Raw genomic sequence first — 13,934 nt, 5'->3', positions numbered from 1 at the left:
CAGACAAAGACATCACAAGACAAGAAAACCACAGATCAATACTGCTTATGAATATGGATGCAAAACTTCAACAAGATAATAAACGGAATCCAGCAACATATAAAATCAATTATACACTTTGACCAAGTGAAATTTATCCCAGGAATGCAAGGTTAGTTTAATATCTGAAAATCAATTACCATAATGCACTTTATCAATAGAGTAAAACCTCAAAACTACATGAACATCTCAATAGGTGCAGAAAAAGCATTTGACAAAATCCAACCCCTTTTCATGATAAAATAGTCAACAAACTAGAAATTAATTTCTGAATTTATTCTACTGTGGTTGGAGAAGATATATTGTATGAGTTCAATCTTTGTAAATTTATTGACACTTGGTTTTATGCCTAACATGTGGTGTATCCTGGGGAATAGTCCATGTGCACTTGAGAATAAAGTGCATTTGGCCTTTTTTGGGTGGAAGAGCATATCCTCCACATGATAAGGGGCATCTATGAAAAACTCACATCTAACTTCATATTTAATGATGAAAGATTAGATGTTTTCCCACCAAGATCAGGAACAAGACAAAGTTGTCTGCTTTTGTCATTTATACTCAACATTGTACTAGCGGTTCTATCCAGGGCACTTGGACAAGAAAAAGAAACAAAAGTCATCAAGATTGAAAAGAAAGAAGTAAAACTATCTCTATTTGTGAGTGGTATGACATAATGCTGTATATAGATAATCCTGAGGAATCCACTTAAAAACTATTAGAAATAATCAACAAGATACATAAGGTTGCAGAATTTAAGATTACATACAAAAATCAATTGTATTTTTTTTCTTTCTGAGATGGAGTCTCACTCTGTCACCCAGGCTGCAGTGCAGTGGCACAATCTCGGCCCATTTCACCCTCCTCCTTCTGGGTTCAAGTGATTCTCCCACCTCAGAACCTGAGTTGCTAGGATTACAGGTGTGGGCCGCTATGCCCAGCTAATTTTTGTATTTTTGATAGAGACGAGGTTTCACCATGTTGGCTGGTGTGGTCTTAAACTTCTGACCTCAAGTGATCTGCCCACCTCAGCCTCCCAAAGTGCTGGGATTACAGGCATGGGCCACTGCACCCAACCAAAAATCAATTGTATTTCATAAAATATACACTAGCAATGAATTCTGAAAATAAAATTAAGAAAACAATTCTATTCATAATAGCATCAACATGAATAAAATACTTAGGTATAAATTTAACAAAAGATGTACAAGACTTCTAATATGGCCTGCTTCTGTGTCCCCACCCAAACCTCATCTTGAATTGTAGTTCGCATAATCCGCATGTGTCATGGGAAGGACCTGGCAGGAGGTAGTTGAATCATGGGGGTGGTTACCCCCATGCTGTTCTCATGATAGTGAGTGAGTTCTCATGAGATCTGATGGTTTTATAAGGGACTTTTTCACCTTTGCTTGGCACTTCTCTCTCCTGCCACCTTGTGAAGAAGAACGTGTTTGCTTCCCCTTCTGCCATGATTGTAAGTTTCCTGAGGCCTCCCCAGCCATGTGGAACTGTGAGTCAATTAAACCTATTTCCCTTATAAGTTACCCAGTCTCTGGTATTTCTTTATAGTATCGTGAGAATAGCCTAATACAACTTCTATACTGAAGACTACAAAACATTGTTGAAAGAAATTAAGGGAGATTTAAATAAATAGAAAAACTTCTGTTTTCTTAAGTTGGAAGACTTAATATTGTTGAGATGGCAATATTCTCCAAATTGATATACAGATTTAATGCAATTTATATCAAAATTTCAAATACCTCTTTTGCAGAAATTGACAAGATGATCCTAAAAGTCATATGAAAATGCAAAGGATCCAGAAGGGCCAATATAATCCTGAAAAGGAACAAAGTTGGAGGACTCCCACTTTCTGATTTTCAAAACTTACTGTAAAACTACAGTAATTAAGACAGTGTAGTACTGGCAAAAGGACAGCCATATAGGTCAATGGAATAAAAGTAAGACTCTATGGTTAATTGATTTTCAACAAGGATGCCAAGACCATGCAATGAAGAAAAGAACAAAATAACAATCTTTTCAACAAATAATAGTAGGACACTGGATATCCACATGCAAGGGAATGAATTTGGACCCCTAACTCACACCGTGTACAAAAAACTAACTCAGAATGGATCAAAGATTTTTTTTTTTTTTTGGGATAAGTTCTCACTATGTTGCCCAGACTGTTCTTGAACTCCTGGGCTCATGCGATCCTCCCACCTTGGCCTCCCAAATTGCTGGGATTATAGGCATGAGCCACAGTGCCCCCACAGCCAGATCAAAGATCTTAAGAGCTAAAACTATAAAGCCCTTGGAAGAAAATATAGGGCTAAATCTTCATGACTTTGGATTAGGTAATAGTTTCTTAGGTACGACACCTAAAGCACAAGCAATTAAAGAAAAAAATAGATAAATTAGACTTCAAATTTAAAAACCTTTGTGCATCAAAGGACACTCACAGGAAAATGAAAAGACAACCCACAGAATGAGAGAAAATATTTGTAATTTATATATCTGACAAGTAACTTGTATCTAGAATAGAAAGAACTCCTACAATTCAATAATTAAAAAAAGACAAATAACCCAATTTTAAAATGGGGGCTGGGTGTGGCATCTCATGTCTGTAATCCTGGCTCTTTGGAAAGCCAACACTGGGGCATTGCTTGAGGCCAGAAATTAAAGACCAGCCTGGACCACATAGTGGGATCCCATCTCTACAAAAAAAAAAAAAAAAAAAACAGGTAGCTGGGTGTGGTGGCCTGTGCCTGTGGTTCCAGCTACTTGGGAGACTGAGGTGTGAAGATTGGTTGAGCCTGGGAGGTTGAGGCTACAGTGAGCCATGATCAAGTCATTGCACTCCAGCCTGGGCAACAGAGCAAAAACCCATTGGAAAAAAAAAAAAAAAGGCAAAGGATCTGAATAAGTATTTCTCCAAAGTAGGTTTGCAAATGGCCAATAAGCACACGAAAATATGCTTGATGTCATTAGTCATCAGGGAAATTCAAATCAAGGCCTCAAAGAGATATCACTTCACACCTGCTTGAATGGCTATAATAATAATTTTAAAAGGGCAATAACAAGCATTGGCACAGCTGTGGAGAAATTTCTGCTTCATATAATGCTGGTAGAAATGTAAAATGGTGTAGCTGCTGTGGAAAACAATTTGGCCATTCATTTAAAAGTTAAATATAGAGGCTGAATGCTGAATACAGGTGGCTCATGTCTATAATTTCAGCATTTTGGGAGGCCAAGGAAGGAGGATCATTTGAGCCCAGGAGTTCCAGACCAGCCTGGGAAACATAGTGAGACTCCATCTCTATAAATAAATAAATAAATAAATAAGCCAGGCATGGTGGCACATGCCTATAGTCCCAGCTACTTGTGAGGCTGAGGTGGGAGGACCACTTGATCCTAGGAGTTCAGGCTGCTGTAAGCTATGATCACACTACTGCATTCCAGCCTGGGTGACAGAGTGAGACCTTGTCTCAAAAAAAAAGGAAAGAAAAAAGATAAACACAGAGCTATGATCTAGTAATTCTATTCTAGGTATATTTCCAAGAGAAATAAAAACATATGTCCACATAAAACTTATACATTAGTGTCAACAGCAGCATTATTCATAGTAGCTTAAAGGTGGAAACAACGCAAATGTCCATCAACTAAATAATGGATAAGCAAATTGTGATACATCCATACAATAGAATATTATTTATGCATAAATGGAATGAAGTGCTGATTCATACTACAATATGATGAACTTTGAAGAATTATGATATGTGAAAGAAGCCAGACATGAAATGTCAAATATTTTATGATTTCATTTAAATGAAATGCCCAAAATAGGCAAATCCATAGAGACCGAGAGTAGATTAGTTGCCCAGGGATGGTGGAAAGGGGGAATAAAAAGTGACTGCTAATGGTGATAGAGTTTCCTTTTAAGGTGATGAAATGTTCCGAAATTAAATAGTGATGGTAGTTGCACAACTTTGTGAATATACTAAAAACCACTAATTGTACACTTAAAAAGTTGAATATTATGGTATGTGAATTACATCTCAATTAAAAATAGGCAGATTAGACACAATCAAGTAAAAGATTAGGGAACTTGAAGATAGATCAATATAAATAATCCAGACCAAAGCATAGAGATAGAAAAAGGAAAAGAGAGATGAGAGAAGGGCTCATCAATGAGCGATGAGAGATTTGATGCAATGTGAGATTGCATCAAAAGGTAACACCCATGTAACTGAAGTCCCATAAGGAGAAGAGAAACAGAGTGGAGCAGAAAACATGTTTGGATTCCATTTAAAGAAGTGTTGGAGGTCAGGTGTGGCAGCTCATGCCTGTAATCCCAGCACTTTGGGAGGCCCAGGCAGACAGATCACGTGAGGTCAGGAGTTTGAGACTAGCCTGGGCAACATGGTGAAATCCCATCTCTACTGAAAATACAAATATTAGCTGGGTTTGATGGTGGGTGCCTGTAATCCCAGCTACTCAGGAGGTTGAGGCAGGAGAATTGCTTGAACCCAGGAGGCAGAGTTGCAGTGAGCTGAGATTGTGGTACTGCACTCCAGCCTGGGTGACAGAGCAAGACGCTCTCAAGAAAAGAAAAAAAGAAAAAGAAGTTTTGGGCTGGACATGGTGGCTGACGCCTGTAATCCAAACACTTTGGGAGGCTGGAAAGGGAGGATTGCTTGAGCCCAGGAGTTCCAGACCACCCTGGGCAACACAGTGAGTCCCTATCTATACAAATAAAAAAAAATTTTTTTTTGAGATGGAGTCTCATTCACTGCAACCTCTGCCTCCTGGGTTCAACCAGTTCTCTGCCTCAGCCTCCCAAGTAGCTGGGATTACAGGTGCCCACCCCCACGCCTGGCTAACTTTTTGTATTTTTAGTAGAGACAGGGTTTCACCACCTTGGCCAGGCTGGTCTTGAACTCCTGACCTCGTGATCCACCTGCCTCGGCCTCGCAAAGTGCTGGGATTACAGGCATGAACCACCGTGCCTGGCCACAATTTTTTAATTAAAAAAAATTTGCCTGAAAATGTTCTAAATTTGATAAAAGTATATAACAACTCAAGATCCAAAAAGCTCAGAAATTCCTAAGCTGGATAAATACAAAAATAATAACACCGATGCACATCAGGGTCAAACTGTTGAAAACCAGAAATAAAGGAAAAAAGTCTTAAAAGCAACCAGAGAAAATGGACACATTATACATAGAGACACGATGATAAGAATGTCAGCCAAGTTCTCATGAGAAACAATATAGTTCAAAAGACAATTGAATGGCATCTTTAAAGCACTGAAAGAAAAAGATCAACCTAGAATTCTATATTGAGTGAAAATATATTTTATTTATTTATATTTATATTCTATTTTATTTTATTTTTTTGAGACGGAGTCTCACTCTGTCACCCAGGCTGGAGTGCAGTGGCGAGATCTCGGCTCACTGCAAGCTCCGCCTCCCGGGTTCACACCATTCTCCTGCCTCAGCCACCCGAGTAGCTGGGACTACAGGCACCCGCCACCACGCCTGGCTAATTTTTTTTATTTTTAGTAGAGATGGGGTTTCACCATGTTAGCCAGGATGGTCTCGATCTCCTGACCTCGTGATCCGCCTGCCTTGGCCTCCCAAAGTGCTGGGATTACAGGCGTGAGCCACCATGCTCGGCTGGCTGATTTTTAAATCTTTATTTAGACATAGGGTCTCACTCTGTGGCCAAGGCTGGAGTGCAGTGACATGATCATGGCTCACTTACAGCCTCAACTTCCCAGGCTCAAGTGATCCTCCCACTTCAGCCTCCCAAGTGGCTGGGACTACAAGTGCCTGCCATCACACCCAGGTTATCTTGTTTATTTTTTGTAGAGATGAGGTCTCACTATGTTGTCTAGGCTGGTCCCAAACTCCTGGGTTCAATCAATCCTCCCTCCTTGGACTCCCAAAGTGCTGGGATTACAGGCATGAGCCACTATGCCTGGCTGAAGATGTATTTTAAAAATGAAAGTGAAATAAAAACATTTTCAGATAAGCAAAAGCTGAGAGAACTCTTTGCCCACAGATTGCACTACATGAAGTGCTAAAGGAAGTTCTTCAGCTGGAAAGAAAGAATTACCAGATAGAAAACTGGATCTACAGGGAAATAAAGAGTGCTGAAAAGGGTTTGTGTATATTTAAATATAAAACAACTTTTTTCTTTTTGGCTGGGTGCGGTGGCTCACACCTGTAATCTCAGCACTTTGGAAGGCCAAGGTGGGTGGATCATTTGAGGTCAGGAGTTTGAGACCAGCCTGACCAACATGGTGAGACCCTGTCGCTACTAAAAATACAAAAATTAGTTGGGCGTGGTGGCAAACACCTGTAATCCCAGCTACTCAGGAGGCTGAGGCAGGAGAATTGCTTGAATCTGGGAGGTGGAGGTTGAAGTAAGTAGAGATCACGCCATTGCTCCAGCCTGGGTGACAGAGTAAAACTCTTGTCTCAAAAAAAAAAAAAAAAAAAAAAGTTGCATCCATTGATTAAAATAAAAAAGGATCTTTAAAGAATATGCTTAGCTTTTCTCCCATATCTTTCCTTCTAAGTGGAATTGAAATTTCAAAAAATTAGCTTGGTTCGAGAAGTCTTCTTTGTTATTTTTAGCTTGATGGAGAGCTAATCAAATAAAACCCAGCATGTATAGGCCTTCAGAAATTATTGTTTCCTTGGGATTGTGCTTTCCAAGTAACAATTTAACATGACTGAAGCTATAAATCTATGTTGTGAAAACTGCAACAGATGTTTTCCTTTAAACGTCTGTCTGTCTATGTGTGAATGGGGCTGAGCAGTGTATAATTCACTCCATTTATATTAACATTTATGAAAAACACATGGTAAATTATTTTGCAACATGTACAATTTTCTTTCCTTTGGTATGAATTTGGCTGATATGAAGTTGACTTGGTCTTCAAACTGATATTAAACTCTGTTCCAGTATAATTTTTGAGAAAACAAAGTTATGAATTCTTTCTTCTTTCAGTTATGAATTTTTAATGCAAAATGCTGTTGACCTGTGTTTGCTTCATCTCTAGGTCAGGAGAGGATCTAGAACCCTTTTCCCTCTGATCAAATGATAAAATTGGATTGTTAGGGCAAAAAATTTTTGTTATATAGATTTTGAGATATTTATTTATTTATTTATTTATTCTTTTAGGTTTTCACTCTGTTGCCCAGGCCGGAGTGCAGTGGCGCCATCACAGCCCACTGTAGTCTCGACCTCCTGGGTTCAGGGATCCTTCCACCTCAGTTTCCTGAGTAGCTGGGACTACAGGTGCATGCCACCATGTGTGGCTAATTTTTTGTAGAGACGAGTTTTCGTCATGTTGCCAGGCTGGTCTCAAAGCAATCCTCCTACCTCGGCCTCCCAAAGTGCTGGGATTACAGGCATGAGCCACCGTGCTGGGCCAATTCTTAAAGCAATGCACAGGAGTAAAAAATTCAGAGCCACTACGCCAGTCAATAGTATGATAATTTTGTTTTCGGGATATTTCACTTAAAAGCGGGTTTCTATGACTTTTTTAGATATCCAGCTGGCAATGAGCAACAGAAAATAGTGGGGAAATATTGTTTTAAAAGTTGATTCAAAGATATCACTTCTGAGCAAAAAGAAGGAACAGTGAAAATGGTAGCAGGACTCTTAGACCTCTGCTTTGTACAACACAAAAATAAGTTCCAGATGGGTAAAAAAACATAAATAGTTTATTTCAAGCAACTGCTGTCTGGAGAAACCCTCCCAGTATAGAGCACTTAACATGCTGGATGAAATACAAGAAGCATCTTTCTTTTTAAAGGCATGGCAATGTTGTCAGAAAAGGAAGAAGAATGATCAGAAATAAGGAGAAAACACCACTCCAGAAAAATTCTAGCCAGAGCTGGTGTTTGCCAGGTGACATCTGCCAATCCCTGGAGAATTAGCAAAGTGCAGAGGACAGGAGTTGAAGTGTGAGGCTTAAGGGGCAGGGAGGTTGGATTGGAACTCCCCACATAAAGTTGGGGTTCCCTGAGGATAAACTAGAGAATTGAGCAAACTAGAAAAGTCCCACCAACAGAAAAGGACAATGAAGATTACCTATTTCCTAACCATGGGACTGTCCTCACTTGGGAGCAATGCCTCATAACTGTGTGCTTCAAAATGAAAATCTTTAAGCCTAAGATTTAAAGTGATTCTAGGATTGTAGTGCCCCAAACTGCCCCATAGAAACAAACATAAATTGGCTGGGCATAGTGGCTCACACCTGTAATCCCAGCACTTTGGGAGGCCGGGATGGGAGGATCACTTGAGGTTAGAAGCAAAAATGGCCTGGCCAACATGGTAAAACACCATCACTACTAAAAATACATAAATTAGCTGAGTGTGGGGGCAGGCACCTGTAACCCCAGCTACTCAGGAGGCTGAGGTGGAAGAATCGCTTGAACCTGGGAGGCAGAGGTTGCAGTGAGCCGAGATCACCCCACTGCACTCCAGCCTGGGTGACAGAGGAAGACTCCACCTCAACAACAACAACAACAAAAAAAAAAAAAAAAAAAAAAAAAAAAAAAGAAAGAAAGAAAGAAAGAAAAAGAAAAAGAAACAGACATAAATCTTCCATGGAGGAACACACTTTCATCCAGGGCTCAATTCTCACAGATAAATTTCCAAAGAATGTGAGTTCAAACACATTAAAAAAAAAAAAAGTCCTCAAACATAAGAGATAATAAGCCACTATGTGTGAATCAACAGAAACAATACACAACAGAAGCAGACGTATACCTACGATAGCTACCAGAATTATTAGATGATTTGGCAATGGAACAACAGACCATTGAGAGGGATTAACGAGATTTGAAAAGAAACCAGACAGAACTTCTGGAAACTGAAGATAAAATGGGAAAAAAATAGAGGTCAAAAGGGTAGTTTATACACAGGTGGAAAGAAGATAAATCTGGGAAATTGCCCAGAATGCATTAAGAGGAGATGAAGATAGTGAAAATATGAAAGGTTAAGAGACATGGAGGAGTGAATGAGAAGATCTCACATAAACCTAACAGGAATTCTAGAAGGAACAGGAGCTGCAATATTCAGAGACTGTGGCTGAGAATTTCAATACTAGATAAAAGATGCTAATTATCAATATCAGATTCATAAGGACACACTATTCCCAGACAGTGTAAATAAGAAGAAATATACATCAGCACACATCTTAGTGAAACTGTAGAACATCAAAGATGAAGAGAAGAGAGAAAAGACAGATTATTATATGAGGAAAATAATTAGACTAAAAGCCGACTTTTCAATAGTCTCAGTAGAAGTTAAAAGATGGGAGAATTGGCTGGGCGTGCTGACTCATGCCTGTAATCCCAACACTTTGGGAGCCCAAGAAGGGCAGATCACCTGAGGTCAGGAGTTCGAGACTAGCCTGGCCAACATGGCGAAACCCCATCTCTACTAAAAATACAAAAATTAGCCAGGCATCATGTCAGGCACCTGTAATCTCAGCTACTCGGGAGGCTGCAACAGGAGAATCACTTGAACCCGGGAGGCAGAGGTTGCAGTGGGCCAAGATCATGCCATTGCACTCCAGACTGGGTGACAGAGCAAGACTTCATCTCAGAAAAAAAAAAAAAAAAAAAATCAGAAAAAAAGAAAACAAAGCTGTCCAGCCAGTGCCAAACTGTGAACTTTCCACCATATCTCAGAATCTGCTATTCCCCAAACTACTTTTTCTTTTCAGTAATCTTTCTGAAGGGCCTGTTGTTTAGTGAATTTCTTTGTTATTTTAAGCCTTTAAACTGTAAATTCCATCTCTTGCAATAAATTTATTTCTTTTTTTGCTTTACTTTGTTCAGAATTTCAGGTATTTAGCTCCCTTTTTATTATATGTATATATATGCATATATATATAATTTTAAGACAGGGTCTCACCGCATTGCTCAGGCTGGAGTGCAGTGGTGCAATCTCAGCTCACTGCAGCCTCAACCTCCTGGGCTTGAGTGATCCTCCTGCCTCAGCCTCCCAACTACAGGTGCACACCACCACACCCAGCTAATTTGTGTGTGTGTGTGTGTGTGTTTTGTAGAGTTGCCTAGGCTGGTCTTGAATTGTGGAACTCAAGGATTCACCTGGCTTGACCTCCCAAAGTGCTGGGATTATAAGATGAACCACTGTGTCCAGCCCCTTTTATGTTATTTTTAAATTTTTCAAATTATCTGTTATAGGGCATTCCTCCAGAAACAAAGGGCAAAATTTAACTGTTGTGATGAACCATGAGGACTCTAATTTTTGATTCTATGCATTTAATCATTGTCTCTTTATTTTAAGACTTTTTAAATACAGATATCATTTTTAAAGAAACAAAAAAGATGGGAGAATATTATCTGCAAAATACTGGAAAAAAGTAATTGTTCAATTGTATGTTCAGCAAAATCTTGTTCAAAAGTGAGAGCAGGCTGGGTGTGGTGGCTCATACCTGTAATCCCAACACTTTGGGAGGCGAAGGTGGGAGGATCCCTTGAGGCCAGGAATTCCAGATCAGCCTGGGCTGGTTATGGTGAAACCCTGTCTCTACAAAACACACAAAAATGTTCCAGGTGTGGTAGCATGCTCCTGTAATCCAGCTACTCAGGAGGCTGAGGTGAGAGGATCACTTGAGCCCAGGAAGTCAAGGCTGCAGTGAGCCATAATTGTGTCACTGCACTCCAGCCTGAGTGACATAAGGAGACCCTGTCTCTAAAAACCAGAAATAAAAACAAAAGGGAGGACAAAATATAGGCATTTTTCAGGGGAACAAAACCAGAATATACACTGTATTTACTTTCAGTTGACTAAAGAAACTGCTAAAGGGTAATCACATGACATACTCATCATTAGGGAAATACAAATTAGTGCCACAGTGATACCACTACATACCCACTGGAATGGCTAAAATTTAAAAAGACTGACCTTATCAAGTGCTGGTGAGAAAGTGGAGCAACTGAAACTCTCACACACCACTGATGGAAAATATAAAGTGGTACAATCACTTTGGAGAACAGTTTGGCATTTTCTTAAAAAGTTAAAACTACATCTACCACATAGCCCAGCCATTACATTCCTTGGTACTTACCTAAGACAGAAGCAAATATATGTCTACACAGAGACATGCTAGTGTTTATAGAAGCTTTATTTGTAATTGCAAAAAACTAGAAACAACCCAAAGTCTATAAACAGGTGACTGGATAAATAAATTGTGAATATACATATGATGTAAATATTATCTGGCAATAAAAAGAAATGAATACTGATACATACAAAAGGATGCACTTCAAAATAATTATGCTAAAAGAAGCCAGACCAAAAAGAGGACATTCTGTATCATTCTATTCATATGAAATGCTAGAATATGCAAATTAATCTTTAGTGATGGAAAAACATCAGTGATTATCTGGGGACGGGTGGGGTCAGACAGGGGTGGGAGGAAAATGAGGAAACTTTTGTAGGTGATGGGTATGTTCATTATCTTGATTTTGGTGATGATGATGTGAGAACTTATCTAATTTAAATACATATAGTTAATTGCACATCAGTTATACTTCAATAAAGCTGTGAAAAAAAAAAACAGAAAGAGAGAAAAGAAAAGAAAAAGAAACAATTCAGTGGTGTGCTGGAGCCCACAAAATTTGAACATCTCTTCGCACCTGCTCATTCAGTGATGTTACACTGATGGCTTGGAATAAGCCATGGTGGGAGTACATTTCCACACCAGAAATTGACTACAATTCAGGGCCCTTCCCTGCCCCTGAGCCAGTTTACTCGTCACCACTGGTGTATACCAGGCATAAGGTAGCATCGCAAATTTCAAAAGCAGCACCTTAAATGCAAGAAAAAATTGTGAACAGACATGAAAAGCATGTGAATAAATCTAAAAATAAAACTACAAAATTTTGTTGATGTCAAATTTGTGAGGTTAAAGGCAACAACGTAGATCTAACACACAGGATGACAGTAGCACGTATGTCTGAAGCAGGGCAACTGGAGTTCATCTATCCCCAAATCCTTGGCTTGATTGGGACAATGATACAGATATTGACTTTAGACATTTTTAGATAAAATACGAATGCTAAACTGGTTTACAGTAACCACGAAAAGCACACAATTTGAATGCATGCTTTCAAAACTTGTAGAGGAAAAATGCAATGAGAGAAAAACCGTAATTAAGTCCAAAAGAAGGGCTTGCCCTTCACCTGCAATTCCTCGCATGCTCCCATCACTGATAATGTGGGTAATGATGATGTCACCACATGCCATGGATTACTCACTTCCTCATTCTTCCCCAGCAAGGTTATCGCTGTGTTCCTCAAATACATGAGCAACGGAATTCCAGAATCCCATTTTGAGGAACTATTTTCTGATTTCACAATGGCTATGTCAGTCTGAGTTCAAATAGGAAACAGATGGCACACTGAAATTAGTATAATTCAAGGGGGCTTTTATGAAGGGGCCATTTATGAAGGTTTGGACAGGGTATCAGGGACTCACAAAGGATAATGTAATCATCCAGAACTAATAACAGCAGAATTACTGACATCCCCAGATGAAGACAGGGAATGGTTTCTGGAATCCAGAAGGAAATTCCTGTAGAGTGGGCCACGTGGAGAGCAGTGGTGGCTTGTGGTCAAAGGACACAGCCAGCCCAGGACCTGTAAGGGAGCTCTGTGGCTGGGGATCTGCATTGGCTGAACCCAACACGAAGCCAGGAGACAAGGACTCCACTGGCATAGACCATGCGGGGGCTCTCCTAGGAAAGCGAAAGGGGAGGAAGGGTGGAGAGTAATTTTTTTTATTTTTTATTTTTTAGACAGGGTCTTTCTCTGTTGCCCAGGCTAGAGTGCAGTGGCGTGATCACAGCTCACTGCAGCCTCAACCTCCCGGGCCCAAGCAATTCTCCCACCTCAGCCTGCAGAGTAGCTGGGACTACAGGCATGTACCACCATGCCCGACTAATTTTAGTGTTTTTTGTAGAGAGAGTCTCACCATGCTGCCTAGGCTGGTCTTGAACTCCTGGGCTGAAGCAATCCATCCACCTTGGTCTCCCAAAGTGCTGGGATTACAGGCGTGAGCCACGGTGCGTGGCCAAGAGTATTTTATATCTTTCATATACATATACATATGTGATATATATCCATTTGTCTATATCCCCTCATATATTTGTCATATATCATACATATAGTGTATGTTTAAATGAATATTGATTGTTTAAAATAACAACAATAATGTCTTGTGGAGTTTAAAACACATGTAGAAATAACAGGCTGGACGCAGTGGCTCACGCCTGTAATCCCAGCACTTTGGGAGGCCGAAGTGGGTGGATCACTTGAGGTCAGGAGTTCGAGACCAGCCTGGCCAAGATGGTGAAACCCTGTCTCTACTAAAAATACAAAAATTAGCCGGGAGTGGTGGCATGAACCTGTAATCCCAGCCCCTCAGGAGGCTGAGGCACAAGAATCCCTTGAACCTGGGAGGTGGAGGTTGCAGTGAGCCGAGATCACGCCACTGCACTCCAGCCTAGGCAATGGAGCAAGATTCCATCTAAAAAAAAAACAACAAAAAAAAGAAATAACATAGATGACAAAAATTACACAAAAGGGAGGAAGAGAAGGATAAATGGAATTAAACTGTTGTGAGTTTCTTTCATTGTTTGAGAAGTAATAAAAGTACTAATTTAAGGCAAACTCTAGTGAGCCAAGGAGTTCTATTTTTAAAATATACTTCTTATTTTAGATAGTTTTAGATTTACAGAAACATTGAGAAGATAGTACAGAGGGCTTTCCTGTGCCCCACATTCCCTTTCCCGTTATTAACATCTTACATTATGACATATTTGTCACAAGTAATGAATCAATATT

General features: G+C 39.8%; 1 annotated feature.

Moving 5' to 3' along the window:
* Positions 12,104 to 12,398: an enhancer, noted in NCBI's record as "tiled region #4928; HepG2 Activating non-DNase unmatched - State 7:EnhWF". NCBI's record gives its function as "activates a minimal TATA promoter and a strong SV40 promoter by Sharpr-MPRA in HepG2 cells {active_cell/tissue: HepG2}" and the evidence as "EXISTENCE:reporter gene assay evidence [ECO:0000049][PMID:27701403]".

Source organism: Homo sapiens, chromosome 1, assembly GCF_000001405.40.
Source record: "Homo sapiens chromosome 1, GRCh38.p14 Primary Assembly".
NCBI classification, from domain to species: Eukaryota; Metazoa; Chordata; class Mammalia; order Primates; family Hominidae; genus Homo; species Homo sapiens.
The sequence above is the reverse complement of the archived record's forward strand: the minus strand, read 5'-3'. Positions and strand labels throughout refer to the sequence as shown.